Raw genomic sequence first — 19,572 nt, 5'->3', positions numbered from 1 at the left:
AGCTACTGAGGACAGCCACCATGCCCAGCCCTCAACCCCGCAAACTCATCCAGAGCACTCACTACACACAAGACCCTGTGTATTTCCTCAAAGGCAGCTTTTGAAACAACAACAACAAAAAAGAGACAGAAAAGGATAATAAATAAAAAATTATTAAAAATAAAAAAGCATAAGACCTTGTGCAAACTCTCTTAAAGTGAATGCATGGGAGGTGGCTTGGTCTAGCCGACGCCCCGGCTGCCACAAACCTCAAGAGCAAGCTGTTTAGCCTGTCTGGCCTCGATTTCTCCATCTGTATAATTAGGCCAAACTCATCTCAGAGTTTCCTTCTAGCTCTGCCTCCCATCCTTTTTTTTTTTTTTTTTTTTTTTTTGAGACGGAGTCTTGCTCTGTCACCCAGGCTGGAGTGCAGTGGTATGATCTCGGCTCATCGTGACCTCCACCTCCTGGGAAGTAATTCTCCCGCCTCAGCCTCCCAAGTAGCTGGGATTACAGGCCCGTGCCACCACACCTGGCCAATTTTTGTATTTTTAGTAGAGACAGGGTTTTGCCATATAGGCCAGGCTGGTCTCGAATTCCTGACCTCAGGTGATCCACCCGCCTCAGCCTCCCAAAGTGCTGGGATTACAGGCGTGAGCCACTGCACCTGGCCTGCCTGCAATCTTGAGCACGTTATTGAGACTCCTGGAGAACTAGTTATAAAAATAAAATCTCTTGCTAAAGTATATGTATTTGAAGTGATTTTCACAAAATAAGACTTAATTGAAGTCATTGCTTCTCAAACTGAGAAGGCCGAGCTCCTCTTGCCTTAGGTCTTTGCATTTGCTTTTCCTTCTGCCTGATGCTCTTTCCCAAGATCTCTGTCTGGTGCCCTCATCTCCTTCAGGTTCCTGATCAAAGGCTCCTTTCTAAGTGAGGCCCTCCCTAACCATGCCATAAAAAAAAATAGCCTCTCTTCCACTCCTAGGTGCACTCTATGTCCTATCCTTCTCTTTTTTCTTCCTCCCAACTTGCTCCAGTTGACTACAGACAGGGTCTGTAGATGGTCCAAGCACACATCTTTCTGATATCCAAGGCACCCCGCCCGAGGTGCTTTATTCTAATGCCTTTGTCTGGTGGATAAACTAAAAGGTGGAGGGCATCCTTGAAAGTTTTCTAAACTGACCAAATCTGAGAACTCTGTAGACTCAAATGGGGATTGCTGTAATAAAGGAACAAAAGGGTGTGGCTTGGAAAGGCTGAGTGGGCACACTAAGGAAGTGTCATCGCATTGTTACATGGAATGAAAAACAGAAGCTACATTACTGTCCCCAGTGTCTCTTGGGGGCCTTATATTTATTTGTGCATCCTGGCACCAATACTACTTCATTGCATCAATTGAGTTATGTGTGTGTTCTGTCTTGCCCACTAGATTGCAACCCCCTCAAAGATGGATCTGTCTTATTCATCTCCTTTATCCTTAGTGTGGATCCCAGGGTCTGACACATAATAGGTGGCCAATGAAAGTCTTCTGAATACATGAACAAATAGAAGGGCAGGCAGATGGACAGATGTGGGACTTCCCATTGATCTGTGGGGCAAGCTGCTGAGCTTCTTGGGTAACAGGGACATTACCCTTAGCTTCCTTATGACCCTTTTACCTGTCCAAAGTTCCAGCCAATCATGCCAATTCGGTTTGTGCTTCCCACAAAGATGATGCCGGCATCTTCCTGAACATACTCTTCTCTCTCAGCGTGGTTACCCATAAAGACGCTATCCACTATTTGATACAAAAAGCAGACACCAGCGACTAGAATCCTCGGAGGACTGTAGGGATCGTTCCTCCTCTCCTCCCACTCCTGAACCGGCCTGGGGGTTGGAGCAAGCCCCACCTTTAGCCCTCCCCTGACCCTTGGGCTGTAACTCTTCCAACTCCAATTGTGGGAACTATGAGCTGGAAAGAGAAGCTAGGATGACCCGAGGGTCTGAAAATGAGACCCCAGGGATAAGACACCTGCTCTTTCTGGCAGAAAGCTATCTCCATGCTGTGGAATTATACTGTGGTATTGTCCCTTAAAATGAACCATGCTATGCAGTTTGTAAAAGCTCAATGTGATCTCCACAATATTCCCAGAAGAAACAGCAGGATGTCCATTTAATGGTGAGGACATTGGGGCTTGGAGAGATAGAAGGACTGCCCACACTCAGACAGCTGCTTAAGTGTCAGAGCTCCTCATTTCTAGCTTCTGCGCCCTTTCCACAGCCCATGGACTTTCCCTAATCAAACTTGAGCCTGTGAAGATCATTTCCCCCATCCCCTTTTTCTTTTCTAGCTTAGGCCAGGGCTGAGAGTGTGGGTGGCTAGACACCTACCATTCAGCCAGGGGTTAAAAAGCAGTATGAACGTCCCAAGTTTCACAGAGGAGATGCCGCCCTGGGAGAAGATCTGGAGGGCCATTGTGTACCGTCCTATGGGTGCGCTGGCAGGACTGGAGATGCTGATAGTCAGAGTATTGCCATTGCTGGCCTGAAGCACCGCACTCCAGCCACCACTACTGCCATTGGAGAGTGGAAACACAGCCTTCGTCATGGCCGACTCTGAGGGGTAAGGCCCTGTCAAAGAAGACAGAGGTTGAGAAAACCAACAAGCACTGGTCAGACTGTGGAGAGACCAGGTTCCAATACAACCCCCCTCTGGGGGACATGAGCCAATGAAGCGCCATATTCTACCACTGGAAGTAACTGGAACAAACATACAGGCCAGATCCCTCTTGATTTGAGGATGGTGACTCTCAGGCTCAGAGATGGACAGCAACTTGCCCAAGGCCACACTGAATCAATGACAGAGCAAGGCTAGAACCCAATGCCAGTGGCCCCAGTGTGGTCCCCGTCAGTCCTTGAATGAACAAGGGCTACTCAAGTATGTGTGTGTTTGGGCAAGGAGGGGAATGAGCAGGTACCTGTGGAGACAATGAACTCCAGTCTTTCGTTAGAGCCAAGGCCTTTGTTCATGATCATTAAGACCTGGAAGTTTTGGCCTCTCCGCAAGATGAGCTCCTGGCTGGAGAACTTGTCTGTGTGATGCGCTTGTCGGTTGAAGGCCGTCTGCCAGTTGATACTCTGGACTCCTAGAGCTGTGAGGCAGAAAGGAGAACCTGAAGTCCTAGGAGGCAAGGGATGGTGGTGTGGGGGAAGGGTGTAAGTTACCAAAGAGCAGCTTTGGGGTGAGGCTTGTCAAGGGCAGAGCCAAATTCCTAGAAAGAATCACATTAAAATCCAAAGACCTTGATCTTGCATAGCAAGAACATCACAACCTATTCCCACTCAATCTTTCCAGACTCAGTTATGCCAGCTCACAGGATGCAAGATCATAGAAAATGCTCTGCCCTTTCAGACAGCTGAACCTCTGTGCATCCTGTTCCCACAGCTGAGAGTGTCTTTCCCCCCTCCATCTGCTGAGCTGTCACTCGGCCCTTAAGGAACGGGCCAAATGTTCAGTGGAGCTCCATCCAATCAATGAGGAGTACATGTCACCAGAGCACCTACGTTCTGTCTGCTTTCAGCATTTCTCATTGCTTTGTGGATGGGGGCTCCAACAGAAACGAAGGGAGGCGCCGGGTGTGGTGGCTCACGCCAGTAATCCCAGCACTTTGTGTGGCTGAGGCAGGCAGATCACCTGAGATCAGGAGTTTGAGACCAGACTGGCCAACATGGTGAAACCCCATCTCTACTAAAAATACAAATAATTAGCTGGTCATGGTGGTTCACACCTGTAATCCCAGCTACTCAAGAGGGTGAGGCAGGAGAATCACTTGAATCTGGGAGGCGGAGGTTGCAGTGAGCCAAGGTCACGCCATTGCACTACAGCCTGGGCATCAACAGCAAAACTCTGTCTCAAAAAAAAAAAAAAAGAACTGAAGGGAGGATACCTCTCTCACCCCCATCACCGTGGTTTGGCTTCTTTGTTGTCCCCTTGTGTGTCCCCAGACACCAAGCATGTTTCGCCTCTCCAGTATCCAGCAAATGTTTACTTTTGCATCCTTTACCTTCCCTGTATTTGCAATGCCTCGGTATTGGCCTGGGCCTCTGATGCTAGGGAGGCTGGCGGAGACTCTGAGCAGTGTTTCTAGGCCTAGCAATTGGGGAATCCTCAGCCCAGAGGGGACTTGCAAATGCTCACTGGCAAGAGCTATTTATAGGAGCAGGTCAAAGGCCATGAATGACCTGGATAAGACCCGAGGACAAACATCTCAAAATCCACCCTCCTGATTTACTCTCACATGGTTGTGAAGATGACGGAGCTAAACTGAGAAGGGTTTATGAGAGATGCCATGATGTACCAGGTGTTCGCTGATATAAACTTTTTGGGAAATCTTCCTATGAGTTATGTTTAAGAGGTTACATCACCCATTCTTCTGCAAACCAAACTGGTCTCTGTCTTTACAGAGGCCATGGCTCTGATGAGAGTGTGAAGGTGCATTCCAGTGCCAGACACAGCTCTTTTTTATTTGTGTCCATCTCTCTGCATCAGAACATCCCTTCTTAATCTTTTATTCTATTTTATTTTTGAGGCAGAGTCTGGCTCTATTGCCCCAGGCTGGAGCTCAGTGGTGTGATCTCGGCTCACTGCAACCTCTGGCTCCTGGGCTCAAGGGATTCTCCCACTTCAGCCTCCCTAGTAACTGGGACTACAGGCCTGAGCCACCACTCCCAGCTAACTTCTGTATTTTTTGTAGAGACAGGGTTTTGCCATGTTGCCCAAGCTTGTCTCAAACTCCTGGGCTCAAGTGATCTGCACGTCTTGGCATCCCAAAGTGCTGGGATTACAGGCATGAGCCACTGCACCCGGCCCCCTCTTGATCTTTATATTCTGATGCCTAGCACACTGCTTGACTGTATTAGGATAATTAGGTAAATAAATGGATGAAGGAATAAATGAACAAAGAAAGAAAAGACTAATATCATGCGATGACCATCATGACGACAGCTGAAAATTTAGTCTACAAGGAAAAGTGAATATGAAGTATTCATTCAATAAAAATATTACAGCAGCTATTATTCATAGGACATTGTGTGAGGCACAATGTTGGGAGTGTACACGTGTATGAAGTGTAGTTATAACTCTCCAAGAGCTTCAGCAGTGGATAAGACAAGCATAAGTGATCATGAATGGTGGAATGGGATAAATCCAGGAAAGGTGTATGAGAGATGCAGGCAGGCAAAAAAAGTCACTTTCAGTTGTAGGGATCAGGAAAAGCTACACTGAAAATGCTGGGCCTTGAAAGGAGAGAGAATTTTGCCGGGTGCCCATAGAGCTGCCTGCATTCTAGACAGTGGGAAGGAGAGGCCCAAAGGCACAAGAGAAGGAGTGATGTTACTTGTCTGGAGCAGGGGCGCTGCGTGGAGAAGAGAGAAAGGTGAGACAGGAGAGAGTGGGGGTTGGGGCAGGACTGCGGAGGGGCTTCCACTCAAGAGCACTGGAGATGGGGCAGAGGGTCACCATAGGTACCCTCTCCAGTAAAATGCAGGCTCCCTGGGATGGTGAGCCAACCTGCCACTGGAGAGAGGGGACTCAAGAGGTGAGCTTACTCCCAGCTGAGGGTGCTAAAATTCATTCATTCAAACATCCACTCACTCATTCATTTAACAAATATTCATTGAAAGAATAAATTAATAGGTTTTTGCACAAATTCAGGGAAACTGAGACATTTGTGCAATCAACAAGGGTCTGTTGAATGAAGGGAAGAAATAAGGGAGGACAGAAAGGACAGAGGGAGCAGGGGGAAAATGAGCATTCTGTACCTGAATAACCAACAGAGACAGCCCAGAACTCAGACACTGGCAAACACTGAGCCCTAGATGGCTGTGTACAGCTGATAGATGCCAGATCTCTCTAGGGAAATGGCCCCCAACTTTCTCCCCTCTCCTCCTGCCAACCTTGCTCACTACTTTCTGTGCATCCCAGCCAGTTGAGATTTGGTAAAACTTTACTCACTTTAGAAAAAAGAAGGGCTGGCGGGGTACAGTGGCTCACACCTGTAATCCCAGCATTTTGGGAGGCCAAGGTGGGTGGATCATTTGAGGTCAGGAGTTTGAGACCAGCCTGGACAATATGGCAAAACCCCGTCTCTACTAAAAATTTAAAAATTAGCCTGGCATGGTGGCGCACGCCTGTAATCCCAGCTACTCAGGAGGTTGAGGCAAGAGAATCACTTGAACCTGAGAAGCAGAGCTTGTAGTGAGTTGAGATCATGCCACTGCACTCCAGCCTGGGTAACAGAGCGAGATTCCATCTCAAAATGAAAAAAAAAAAAAAAAGAAAGGAAAAGAAAAAGAAAAAAGAAGACCTCTCAAATAAGAACCTCTGGAAATATATATTTTTAGGAAACAGGAACTCTATGGAACATGTGGTTTCAGAGCACTTGAGCCTTCTTAGAGATTTTTCACCCCACCTCCAAATCCCAAAGGATGCATGTCCTTTTCCAGATAAAGCTCATTCTAGACCATGAGTTCTTTGAAAGTAGAAAGTCTGCTCCAGATGGCTGTTTGTCCAGCACAGTGGTAAGGAAAGAGGGGCGGGGTACTCAGCATCTCTTGCTGGCACCTGCCTCTCCCAACAGGCCCACACCCTTCTTTGCTCCAGCAAAGTTCATGCATTGTTTGCTGTGGCTGTGTCAATAGTAGAGGCTCCTCCCATTCATCCCAGAGACCAATGTCTTGTCCCTAGAGAGGATGAAAAAGAAAAAACTGAGCTCCAGGGTGCCTCCCAACAGGGAAACCTGCAGGAAGAATATGAGGGGTATTTTGCACGCCACACTAGGTCAGACCTGGGGTGACTGTGGTGGTGGTGATCATACTATTAGTTGAAGTTTACTGGGCATTTGTGTGCCAGCCATCTTTCAAAGTGTTTACGTGCATTAGCTCATTAACTCCATAAGGCAGGCACTTGTAGACGTCCTGTTTTACAGACAAGGAAGCCAAGGTGTAGAGAAACCAGGTGCCTTGGTCGTTGTCACCCCACTCCACAGTGGAGGACTGCAGGCTCCAGAGCTCGCATTTGCACTCATCATCTCTGCCTTTTCTGACACCAAGCGTGAGCCCCGGCAGCACCAACGAGCCTTGCTCCCTGTTAGGGTGGCTGTGGGATGTGCGAGACTGCTCCGAGCTGGAGGAGGAGGAAAAGTGGGGCTCACTTTTGTCATCAGCCTTCTTTATGCCAACTGCTATGCGCAGTCCACAGAACATGTTATGTATGTGGTCAGTGAAATCTTACAATGAGGAACAAAGGCTCAGAGAGACCAGGTAGTTTAACTGAGGTCACATACCTGGAAATTGGCAGAGCCAGGATCCTGAACCCAGGTGTGGCATAATGAGAAACACGTATTTGATCTCTGCTTTTTCTTGGCACAAAGTTCCTGAAAGCCTTGGAACCTCCAAAATGATGAGTGACTTCTTGTATGCTAATGAGATGACTGGTACTGGCAGCTCCTGGATAGCCTCAGGATGGGAGCTGGTTGCCAGGGGAACCAACCAGTGACTAGAGACTTGGGACTTTCAGCCTTATGCCCACTACCCACGTCCACAGAGGGGAGAGGGACTGGAGGTTGATTTCATCACCAATGACTGATGACTTAATGAATCATGCCTATAAATGAAGTCTTCATAAAAACCCAAACCCCAAAGGATGGGGCCTGAGGAGCTTCCAGGCTGAACTCATGGAAGTGCTGGGAGGGGGGCATGGGGGCTCTGTGCCCCTCCCCACACCTTGTCTCAGGCATCTTTTCCATCTGGCTGCTTCTGAGTTGTATCCTTTTACCATAAGCTGGTCGTCTGTTTTCCTGAGTCCTGTGAGCTGTTCTAGCAAATCTTCAAACCTGAGAATGGGCTGGTGGGAACTCCCGATTTAAATCTGGTCAGTCAGAAGCACAGGTGACAACTTCTGAAGCACTGGCATCTGAAGTGGGGGCAGTGTTGTGGGACTGAGGGGTGTGTGCACTCCCTGTAGGCTGTGTGCTAACTCCAAACAGTGTGAGAATTGAGTTGAAGGGTAGGACACCCGGTGGGTGTCCACTGCAAATCGCTTGGTATGAGAACAAACCCCACACATTTGGCGGTTAAGAAGTATTAAGAGTAGTCTGGAAGAAAAAATGGTGTTTCCTTTTCACCAGGACTTACTGACTCTACCCTGTCACTGTGGTCCCGAAACCTCCTTCTGGAAGAGGGTCTCATGCAGGATTTTGAGTCCAGAAGGTGCCCTAAGTGGTGAGGGGCCCTCATGCTGCATCGTCCACCTGCTAGCATTTGGATTCCGACAGAGGGGAGAGAGCGAGCTCCTGGAAGGAAAACATCTCTTCCAAAAGAGCCGTCTTCAGGGGAGCTGGACAAAGGGGACAGCCTGCCCCGCATCCCTGAGTAGGGGCTGCCAGCTGAGAGCGTGCTCATCAAGCTTCCAGTGTGGTTCTGAACCCTTCACTGGCTGCCTCCCTCAGTCATCGTCCTGTCCCTTAACCCTAGGATTGCTCTGCCAGCCCCCAATTCAAGGATCCAATGATCCTGTCTCCCCAATCCCAAAGCCCTTGACATGTCACTCATCACAGCCCACCCTGTCAGAATGTGTAGGAAAGGAGAGGAGGGGAAGGTACTCAGCTGTCTAAGGTTCTCAGGTTTACAGCTTTTTGTATATTTACGAGCCTCAGGGCTGTCTTCTGCACCTTATGTCTTCTGCACAGTCTGGGTGAAGGGAGGAGAAGAAGAGACAGGAGTCGCATGATTCTTATAACTGACTCATCAACGTACACACTTAAAAGACATCAGCGGGAAAAACCTTAGAGAACAATCACATACTCCTAACCTTTATTCCAGATGTGAGCACATGGAGGCCAGAGAGGTGGTTTGCCCACAGTGTGACATCTCCAAACTCTGATTCCGTGCCACCTCCCTGAGTTAATGCTTAACTCCAGTGTCAGGCCTGGGGCAATTTCCCAGATTTTTTTTCCTGAGAACATCAGTGCCAGCAGCAATTCTAATGTGGTGGACTGCCAGATAAATATCTATCCCAACGTTCACTCGTTCCTTCTTTCCTGGTAATGAAATCCCCCATATGTGCAGGCACTACTTTCCCAGGCTCCACTCTGGCTCGGTGGCCATGGGGTAAATTTAGGCCAAAAGCTTTTGGCAGAAGTTACAGGTATTAACTTCCAGGAACTCTCTCTTTTAAAAAATCGAGGTAAAATTCACAACATAAAAATTGCCATTTAAACCATTTTAAAATGTACAATTCAGGGGCATTTAGTACACTCACAATATGCAATTATCTCCACTATCTAGTGGCAGAGCTTTTTCATCACTCCTCAAAGAATCCCCCAACTCCATTAGCAGGAACTCCCCATTTCCGCCTATCCCCAGCCCCTGCCAACCCCAACTCTTTCTGTCTCTGTGGATTTGCCTATTCTGGGCATTTCTTTTTCTTTTTTTTCTTTTCTTTTTTTTTGAGATGGAGTCTCCCTCTGTCGCCCAGGCTGGAGTGCAGAGGTACGATCTTGGCTCACTGCAACCTCCGCCTTCCGGGTTCAAGTGATTCTCCTGCCTCAGCCTCCTGAGTAGCTGGGATTACAGGCATGCACCACCACGCCCGGCTAATTTTTTTGTATTTTTAATAGAGACAGGGTTTCGCCATGTTGGCCATCCTGTTGTCGAACTCCCGACCTCAAATGATCCGCCCACCTCAGCCTCCAAAGTGCTGGGATTACAGTCGTGAGCCACCTCGCTCGGCCCTATTCTGGGCATTTCATAAATTAACAAATGGAACCACACAATATGTGATTTGGGTCTGACTTATTTTACTTAGCATAATGTTTTCAAGGTTCGGTCATGTTGGAGGATGCATCAGTAGCTCATTCTTTTCTTATGGCTGAATGAGAGTCTATTATATGAATATTCCATGTTTTGTCGATGCATTCATCAGCTGATGGACATCTGGGTTGTCCCTACATTTTAGCTACTGTGAGTAGTGCTGCTATGAATGTGCACATGGTAATATTTGTTTGAATACCTGTTTTAAATTTTTTTTTTTTTTTAGAAAACCTCTTTATATAAACAGTTGGCAAATGCCCTTTGCCTGTTTTCTTCCTCTTCTTCCATTCTGCTGTCTGGAGTGTGGGTGTGACAGGGACAAGCCTCTAGCGGACATCTTAGACCATGCAGGGCCATACGTACCCTAGCGATGGTGGAGAGGAGACTGGACAGAGCTAGGGCCTGAGGATGGTGCCACCACCTGGCCTGCCCAGAACTGCCTGGTTCCAGGCCTTTCGTGTAAGGAAGAAATAAGCTTCTGTCTTATTTTTCTAAGCTATTGTTTTTTGGGGGGGTTCACTGTTAATCACAGCCAAACATAATCACAAATATGTTAATATAACCCCTGCCCATTTATTCTGTGGTCCCTCTTTCACATGAAAAGCACAGAGAAAGACTCCAGACTGTGAAAGGGAAGTTGCTAGTCAGCCGTCTCAATCCTTGTCAGCCTGGCTGTATAATTGAATCACCTGCAGCACACGGGTGAGAATGACTTGGTCGCTGGGTGTGTGATGGGGCTCCCATCTCCTGTTCCAGGGAGGACCACACCACAGAGGGGCTGACAGGGGGCCCAACATGGAGTGATGCTACTCTAGTGGCTGGGACTATCCCTAGCCCCCAACCAGACTCTACTTCCCACACCTTTTCTCTAGACATAGATGCATTTTTATTTTACAGAAGTCTAGAGTTAATGAGGGCTGACAGAAATGCTAAAAAGTGGCTGGGCACGGTGGCTCACACCTGTAATCCCAACACTTTGGGAGGCCGAGGCAGGAAGATCACCTGAGGTCAGGAGTTCAAGACCAGCCTGGCCAACATGGCAAAACCCTGTCTCTACTAAAAATACAAAAATTAGCCGGACGTGGTGACACATGCCTGTAGTTCCAGCTACTTGGTAGGCTGAGGCAGGAGAATGGCTTGAACTGGGGAGGTGGAGGTTGCAGTGGGCTGAGATCTCACCACTGCACTCCTGCCTGGGCGACAGAGGGAGACTCCGTCTCAAAAAAAAAAATGCTAAAAAGTATCTAGCTGAGTGGTTTTTAAGCTCTATTGAGAGAAGCCAAATCAAGAAATCTATCTAATAGTCTTTACATACATGGATCTGGAACTGACACAAGGTTTCACACGGCTAATGCTTACTATGTATCAATATACTCTGATATTTTCTCTTCTGCTTTTTTTTTTTTTCTTAATGGCTGGTCACAGTCCACTAAACTGATTTCACAACCTGCTAATGGATGGCAACTGGCAGCTTGAAAAACAGTGATGTAATCTAGTATGCCCACATGACAGGTCAGAAAGCTGAGGCCCTGAAATGGGAAGCCATCTCCCCTTCATGAAAGGGGAAGTCACGGAGTTGAAGCAGATCTTAGCCCAGAAGCCGGGTCTCAGATCCTGGTCACCGACAGGCTGTGAGTCATCCCACTTCCCACCCCTAGACACTGGGAACATCTTTAGCTCCTGGCTGGCCCCTCCTCTGGCTCCAAGGACACACGTGCTTTCCTGCTCAGCACCCATCTCTCTCTCCTTTCTCTCTTTCTAGCCTGTGTCATTTCCTTTTAACTTCCCCCACATATCATGACATTTTCAAGCTCTGTGCAGCACAGGTGGCACAATTTCTTGGCATTCAGGGAGAGTAAGGGGCTGGTGAGGATGAAGAGAAATGAGCCCCAGATTGGTGCCTGAACCGGTGAGAGGCCCTGAGCAAGGGTCTCAATGTCTCTGAATTGTACTTTTCTCACCTGTAGAAGAGGGACAGTGAGACCTGGAACATCTTCTCTCTTAGGGTTATTGTTGGGATTCAACATATACCCATCACTAGCACCGGGGCCCCCAGAGATTGGGGGAAACTAATACTGTTGGGATCCCATATGTAATGGCAAAAACAACCCAAGAGCAGAAGAGGCTTTGAGCTTTTAATGGGCTGCTATTGAGGACCTCTTATGTGTCAGACACTGAGCTAAGCATTTCACCTGCGTTATGTTTTTTAATAGTCACGAAATACTGACTATCAAAATGGTGTTGCTGTCCCCATTTCACAGATGAGGGCTTTGGAAGTCCAGTCAGGTGAAGTCACTTACTCAATATCAAACACTCAGGCAGAGGCTGGACTCAAGCCCAGACTGAAAGTCAATTTTGCCTGACCAGATATGACCCCAAGCTGCCGCCCTGTAGCCAACCAAGGCAGCAATGACTTAGACACAGGTCCTGGAGGGGCCATCCACAGCCTACTCCCTGCCTAGACACCCTATGGTCAGGGCAAAAGGAGAGGACAGAAGGACTTCTCTTCCTAAGAGAGAGTTTAGAATCTCTGAGACCAGAGGCTCTCAACCCCAGCTGCCCAGAAGAATCACCTGGAATGTTCTATTGGTCTGAGACCCATCCCAGGCAAATTCAATTAGAATCTTTGGTTAGGGATGACACTGGCATTTTCTTTCTTTTCTTCTCTTCTCTTCTCCTCTCTTTTCTTTCTTTCTTTCTTTTTTTCTTTCTTTCTTTCTTCTCTTTCTTTCTTTCTCTTTCTATTTCTTTCTCTTTCTCTTTCTTTTCCTTCCTTCCTTCCCTCCCTCCCTCCATTCCTTTCTTTCTTCCTTTCTTTCTTTATTTTTTTTTTAAATGGAGTCTCTCTCTGTTGCCCAAGCTGGAGTGTAGTGGTGTGATCTCAGCTCACTGCAACCCCTGCCTCCTGGGTTCAAGCAGTTCTCTTGCCTCACTGTAACCTCAGCCTCCCAAGTAGCTGGGACTACAAGTGCGTGCCAGCATGTCCCACTAATTTTTGTATTTTTAGTAGATGAGATTTTGTCGTATTGGCCAGGCTGGTCTCGAACTCCTGACCTCAGATAATCTACCCGCCTTGACCTCCCAATGTGCTGGGATTACAGGCGTGAGCCATTGCACCCGGCCAGCATTTTCTTTAAAGCTTTCCTGGTGATTCTAATGTGCAGCAGGGACTGAGACCTCACTACCTTAGGCCCGTTTATCATCTACACTTATAAAAGCTCCTTCACATAAATTACCTGACCAGAGCCACCCGGCAGCTATAGGAAGGAGGCAGGGGAGGAGTCGCTGTCCTCTTTTTACAAATAAGGAAAATCAGGCTGAGGGAGGGGAAGGCTGACTCCTTCTGACTCCCATCTCTCAGCTCCTACCAAGATCCTAGGGCCTTGTGCCCTCCACTGCTAAGCGAGATTTCCTAACTTCAGCACACACCCCAGCCTGGCACGTGGGCCCTGGGGAGGAGAATGATTGCTCCATCTGCAGAGACAGCCCTGCGGGGTGGAGCCGCATGAAGTTACTTGAGGTGAACAAGGGGAGTGCTCAGGCATGAGGACTTTGGACTTGGGAATGGATGAAGCGGGAGTGGGGAGGACTTGTGCTGAGGCGCTTAATGGAGAGGGTCCCCTGGGAATCGCCCCTGATTAGAAAATGTAATTCCTCTCATAGGGTTTTTCTTAAGTCCCCCCAAGACAAGGAGAAAACAGGCTCATGAAAAAATTTCCAGGTAATCGTAAGCACCCATGAGGTGGATACTGCAATAACCCCATTTTGGAGATGAGGAAACTGAGACACACAAGTTAAGTGACCTGCCCAAGACCACTCTTCTCGTAAGGGGCAGAGTGGAGCCTTGATCCAGAGAGCACCTCTGAACCTGCACTCTTAACCCATCAGCTATCCTGTAAGGAATCCTACAGGAACAAACGCTGAAATACGGGCAGCTGTCATTCCCGGTGGAATGAAGCTGCTCATGGGCTGTCTCTAAGGAACAGGGAGTAGCCGCTGTCCCAGGTGGAAGAAGGCCATGGAGCCGGGCAGACAGGAGGCAGCTGGTCCTCATTTCAAACAATGAGCAGCTGGAGTCACAAGACTCTGAGCCCAGAGGGGCCATCTCCTTTTCAGAGAGAGAGAGAGTAGATATTGCCTTGGTCCCAGTGCCAGACACAAAAATATGAGGAGGGTCCAGGAAGCACCTAGAAGATTTACAGAAGAGAAGGAGGCCAGAACCCAAGAGCAATTCCTGACCGCTTCCATGGGAGGAGGGGCGACTGGTGTCCCAGCTCCAAGGAGAACGGTTTGGTGGTAGACCCAGACGCTGGGAATGGTACAGGTCCTTTGGGGGTGGAGGAAATGAGGCCTTGAGATGGGAAGTCCCTGAAGCCAAGGCCAGTGCTCTGCCTGGAAAAGTAGTTGGCAAGAAAGCTCACTGCCCCAGAGGGACAGAGCCATTAGTCCCCAAAACAGAGGTTCTGGTCATTTGCAGGCAGAAGCCTGTGGTTCAGGTGTGTACCCTGAGAACTCTGCCACTAACCCAGGGCTTCCAAGTGGCTTTGGGGATGGGGAATCTTGCCTCCCCTCCACACTGGGGCCCTCCTCTGTGCTCACAAACTGCTCTCCCACCCACTCTGGGGATGCCAGGCCACTTGGTGCGGATCACTGCCAGGCCTTCCTCCACTACCTTCATTTCCAGCCACAGCCCAGGCTGCCTTCTCCACCAAGGGGTGGAATAATGGAACCCCTTCTGATTGCAACAAGAACCTTAAATTAGGAGCTGGACACAGAGTCCTCTCAAAGCAGCACACCTGTCATCCCGATAGTCCCCTGGGTCACACCTGCTCACACTGACATTTATTTTCCTGTTCCCTCTGCCCTGCAAAACCTCTCCAGACCAAGTCCAACTCATTGTCTGTGACCATTTTTCAGAGTCTTCCCTATCCCAAATTCCAGACAAGACTAATCTCCTTCTCTTGTTGGTCCCCGTAGCACTTGTTTTGTATTTGTCATGCAGCTTAATAACAGTCTGCCTTGCATGCTGCTCACCTAAAAAACCGGTGGTACCAAAAAATATCAGACTAAAAGCTACCGAGGACAGAACCACATCTCATTCACCTCCATATTTCCCACTGCACCTGGCACAGCTCTTCTCCCTTAGGTGTTCAGTGAATAAATTCATTCATCCAAGAAACACTGATTGGGAACTTCCTGGCTGAGTGACTCGGAGCTGAGCTGGGAACTGCAAGTGGGACAAATTTAAGGGACTGAATGTATTCGCCTGTCTCTCCACCACCTTTTCAAAATTGATTTTCTCCCCACCAGCCTCATTCTGTTGTGACTTTAGAACATCTCTGGTTGTTAACAGAGACATTTAATCATGCCTCACAGCGGGCAGGCCATTCCTGAGAGTCCACGGGAGGTCCTGCACAGGGATGGGAGGTGCACATTCCTGGGGGCTGGGCACGTGCCTGTCCACTCCCTGGCTCTGGTTTCTTTTTGTGGAGAAAGAAAAGTCGGTACTGGAAGGAACCTCAAAACGCATTCATTTCAAAGCTTTCATCTTGAAAACTTGAGGCTCAGGGGTGGCAGAGAACACACAAGCAGTTGGTCACAAAGCTCAAATGAGAAGCCAGGTTCAGAATTGCTTTTTTATGTTCCAGATGTTATGTGCACTTATGTAGGAGCTCAGCTCTGGCAGCAGGACATGGTGGAAAGGGCACTGCTGAGACCTAGCTGGCTCTGCGATGGATTCACTGTGTGTAAGGTTCCACCCCTTCCTGGGCCTCAGCCACCTCCTGGAGGGAGGGAGATGGGCTAGATGACATCTGACCTCCCCTCTTGCTGCAGTGTGTAGGGTCCAGAGCTCCTCTTCTTAGCATCCCAGCCATGCTGTACATTACAGCAAGGAATGGGAGACAGGGGAGGGGGCCTAATGTGCAATCACCTGTCCCAGTTTTTGTGGCTTCTGAAGTAGCCAGCATTTGCCTGTTGCATTTGGCTCAGTGATGTCTTTGGCCAATCTTCCAGCAGCCCTAATCGCCATTCACAATATTTTACAAGTTTGACTCATATCTTGTTTGGATTTGGCGTCCCTGTCAACCTACTAGGCTGAGCACACAAGACAGATAATAATTAGCATGCTGCTTAGCAGGGGTGCTGATTAACAAAGGCCCATATCCTCGACAGTAAGCATAGAGTGGGGGAACCTGCACTTCCTGTTGTTCTTTGTAACCCCTGTTCCCTGGTGCTCTCCTGTGGACCAGGACATCTTGTGGCACACCTGCTCCTGCTACGGGGAGGCTTCAGCTCATCAAGTCACTTACACAGAGCCTGTCTGATGCTTCTGATGTGTAGCTTACTTAGGAGCATTCCTAATGCTCCTAAGTAAGTTGATTTGAAATAAACAATGGTTTCTTTCAAATCAACTTACATGTTACCACTCTCACTCCCTGGTAGTTCTGAGATGTGCTTCTTTGCTGACACTGCTGACAGCTGGATACAGCTACACTGAGAAACACGAGACCCGAGTCCTGTCTGCTTTGGCTTTACGGGTGGCGACGGATGTGTAAAAGAAACGCAAACACAAACAAGGCAAAGCTTGTCCTCTGCCTAAGGAGATGCGATGTCCAGCTGCACTGAACACCCTGCCCATTATTCAGAGCTACATTCCAATGATGTTCTACCCCAAGAATATGCTAGAGGGACCCAACCACCACTGAGAAAGAGCCGCCTCTGGCTAGCACCCTAAAATAGGAAGTCTGGCCTTCAGAGCCCCCAAGGCAGGCAGCTGTCCTGGCCGGACACTCTGGCTTGGCAGGCTGGCCCAGGGGAAGCACAGGCTTCTGGCAAGGACCTGATGGAGAAGATGCCATGCACTCACCAGCCATGTTTCGCCTTCCTCTGCCTCTTCTCAGGCTCCTCTGGGAATGGCACGGACAGTGCTGACAGACAGGCTGCCAAGGATTGCCTTACCATTTATAGAATCCTCTCCTACACACCCCAATTAGAATTCTAATGAAGTGGGCGAGGCACCAGGTCATTCCTGTAGTGCCTGTAAACGTTTCACTTACGACAGACTTGTCACCCAATGGACGTGCATCATGTTTGTACAAGACCAGCTTGGGGAGAAGGGGGCAGATAATAAAGAAACTCAAATAGTTCGCTTTTATAATTTTATAAAATGATGGACTATTTCCTGGATTGTAGGGTTTAGGAAATGATGACATGCTTTTCTTGCTGATCCTGGGAAGTTCTCTCTGAATCAAAGAAACGTCTCAGCAGAACCCAGAAGAAGAAAATTGTGAGGTCCTTTCTCATGATACACATGTATTAGCATCTTCCACTTGCACAGGGAAGTGAGACACATCACAGTTCATTTGTTTAGGGTTGTAGTGTGGCATAAACCATCATTTGATTTGGAATTAGAAGCCGTTGGTTCTGATGCTGGCCGAGCCCTGGGTGGTCTCCAACCCTTGAAGCCCGGAAGCCTTGCTTGTGGTTGGGGATAATCACTCCCACCCCTCTCAACTCACAAAGCTGTGGACACGATCACATGAGATGGTGCGCATGGGAAGTGTATGCATATCTACCAGGGCAGGTTAAACTGAGATCACACTTGGCGTTGAATGTCAGTTTCAGTCCAGATTTGGGGGAAAATTGTTGTTTTTAATGAGGCAGCAGGAACAGCCTCTAACCTTATGCTTCTGCCATGTCTTTCTCAGACTGCAGGTTCCGTCACTGACCCTCACTGGGCCCACCTTGACATCAGTTTAAAGAAAGGGTGTGGAGTGGGGAGAAGCTCTGACATTCTACGTGTTTTTGTTTGCTTGCTTGTTTCTAAGGGCGTATGTTTTTTCAAAGTTCCTATTATCGATATTTACAAATATCAAGGTTTACGATGGACAAAGGAGTGAGTATATATTTTTTAAAGTGAGGCTTCAAGGATTCACGAGAGAACAGAAATGCCCCAAGGCTTTCCCCAGCATCACAGTGTGGAAGGAAGATTGAGCACCATGATGACAAGGTTGGGTCTTTAGAGAGAAGTGAGAATGTTTGATCTCGAGAAAGAGAAGACGGAATAGGCAGGTGGCTTGGAAAATTGAAAAAGAGAAATCAGTGTCCTTTCTCCGTCCTTTAGGCCCCTACAGCCTTTTGTACATCTTAGAACCTCTATTACCGTATGTATCCACTGCACTGGAACTATCTGTTTATATATGTCCCCATCTCCAGACTGAGCTCCTTGAAGGTACAGGTTGCATATCATTCAAATCTTCTTCTCAGAATCTAGCACAGGGCTTGACACGTGGCTGGAACATGCACATTCTTGAATAAGTGAATCAATATCACTGTAAAGATGGGAATCATAACTACCGATTTAGTGCTTACTAATAATAACTAATTGATTTAGTGTTTACTGTGGGCAGGCACTGGCTAAACACTTTACATATATTAGCTTTTCTCATCTTCATAGCAACCCTATGCAAAGGGGCTATTATTATTTCCATCTTATGGGGGACAGAGAGATTAACCTGAGTCTCCAACCACGAGATTCATACCCATATGTAAATGGCTCCAGAGCCTGTGTTTGCTTAACCTTGGAGGTCAGCGCCTAAATGAGGCAGCCTTTCCCAGGCCTCTGGGGCTCTAAGACAGCTGGCTGTGCACCCATGCCAGGCAGAATGGGATGCACTGTTGGCTCTGGCAGATGACTAAGAAAAGAGCAGAGGGTAGAGAGGGACATGGAAAGAGCCTGGACCCAAGAGGAGACTCATGTGTGGTCTTGGCTCCTACCACGGGCACTAGCTGTGACTCTGGGCGAGGCCTCATGACGCCAAGTTCATCCTGCCAGAAAGCTGGAGGACAGCTCCATGAATGGCATGGGATGAATGGGTGTGAAAGTGCTCTGTATGCTTCTGTGTGTGGTCTAAAGGAAAGGAGGGGTTTTGCTTATTATTGTGGTTGTTGCTGTTGGCCTGGGAGCCAAGGAAAATCAGACCCCGGGCACTCCTTTCAATGACCTGACAAGGAAAGCTGCAGAGGTGACAGGGAGGTGGTGCTCCCCTTAAAAGGGAACCTGAAGACACACAGTCTTGGCTCTGCCAAGTCTCCTCACCTCTCGTAGGCTTTGTTTCCTCAACTGTAAAACTGAGTGGAATTGCTCTGAGAATCAAAGGAGACAGCAAGTGTAAAAGGTTCAGCACGGCGCTGGGCACAGCCCAGTGTAAAAAGTTAGTATTAATAATATTATATTATTAGCCTGGCCGGGTGCGGTGGCTCGCTTCTGTAATCCCAGCACTTTGGGAGGCCGAGGTGGGACCTTGAGGTCAGGAGTTTGAGACCAGCCTGGGGAACATGGTAAAACCCTGTCTGTACTAAAAATACAAAAATTAGCCAGGCATGATGGTGCGTGCCTATAATCCTAGCTACTCGGGAGTCTGAGGCACGAGAATCACTTGAATCCGGGAGGTGGAGGTTGCAGTGAGCCGAAATCGCACCACTGCACTCCAGCCTGGGTGGCAGAGTGAGACCTTGTCTCAAAAAAAAAAAAAAAATCATATTATTAGCCTGAAAGGCCCCGAGTGCCACAGGTTTTGCAAGGGGTCCCACGGGTTTGGACAGTGGTGTCCGACCACTGACCACCTGGTCTTCTCTAGGAGGGTCTGTAGCTGGTCTTGATCCCAGAGTAATGTAGTAAAAAGACCCCTGAGTTGGAGTCAAAAGACCTGGATTCAAAGCCAGGCTTTGGAACTTGTC

At 48.3% G+C, this 19,572-nt stretch overlaps 1 protein-coding gene and 1 long non-coding RNA gene across 2 annotated transcripts in view, besides 3 other annotated features; one reads left to right on the top strand and one right to left on the bottom strand.

Annotated features, from left to right (window-relative positions):
- Nucleotides 1–16,769, bottom strand: part of TGM3 (transglutaminase 3) — a 45,079-nt gene extending 28,310 nt beyond the window's left edge. The window contains exons 1-4 of the mRNA NM_003245.4: nt 16,700–16,769; nt 2,940–3,113; nt 2,353–2,592; nt 1,641–1,759 (exon numbers count right to left, since the gene is read on the bottom strand). Of these exons, the coding sequence (NP_003236.3) occupies nt 1,641–1,759; nt 2,353–2,592; nt 2,940–3,113; nt 16,700–16,706 (540 nt within the window). The 5' untranslated portion in view covers nt 16,707–16,769. The remainder of the gene's footprint in view (nt 1–1,640; nt 1,760–2,352; nt 2,593–2,939; nt 3,114–16,699) is intronic.
- Nucleotides 11,145–11,324: an enhancer, noted in NCBI's record as "active region_17464". NCBI's record gives its function as "activates an Ori minimal core promoter by ATAC-STARR-seq in GM12878 lymphoblastoid cells {active_cell/tissue: GM12878}" and the evidence as "EXISTENCE:reporter gene assay evidence [ECO:0000049][PMID:35858748]".
- On the top strand, nt 11,253–16,949 carry LOC105372503 (uncharacterized). The gene is made up of 3 exons (XR_937203.3): nt 11,253–11,462; nt 15,480–15,578; nt 16,276–16,949. It is a non-coding gene; the product is annotated as an uncharacterized LOC105372503 (long non-coding RNA).
- Nucleotides 14,999–15,531: an enhancer, noted in NCBI's record as "NANOG-H3K4me1 hESC enhancer chr20:2277885-2278417 (GRCh37/hg19 assembly coordinates)". NCBI's record gives its function as "activates a minimal SCP1, AML or CMV promoter by ChIP-STARR-seq in primed H9 embryonic stem cells {active_cell/tissue: H9 hESC(primed)}" and the evidence as "EXISTENCE:reporter gene assay evidence [ECO:0000049][PMID:30033119]".
- Nucleotides 15,532–16,065: an enhancer, noted in NCBI's record as "H3K4me1 hESC enhancer chr20:2277351-2277884 (GRCh37/hg19 assembly coordinates)". NCBI's record gives its function as "activates a minimal SCP1, AML or CMV promoter by ChIP-STARR-seq in primed H9 embryonic stem cells {active_cell/tissue: H9 hESC(primed)}" and the evidence as "EXISTENCE:reporter gene assay evidence [ECO:0000049][PMID:30033119]".

Source organism: Homo sapiens, chromosome 20 (assembly GCF_000001405.40).
Source record: "Homo sapiens chromosome 20, GRCh38.p14 Primary Assembly".
Classification (NCBI taxonomy): Eukaryota; Metazoa; Chordata; class Mammalia; order Primates; family Hominidae; genus Homo; species Homo sapiens.
Note: the sequence above shows the minus strand (reverse complement) of the source record. Positions and strands in the feature narration are given on the sequence as shown.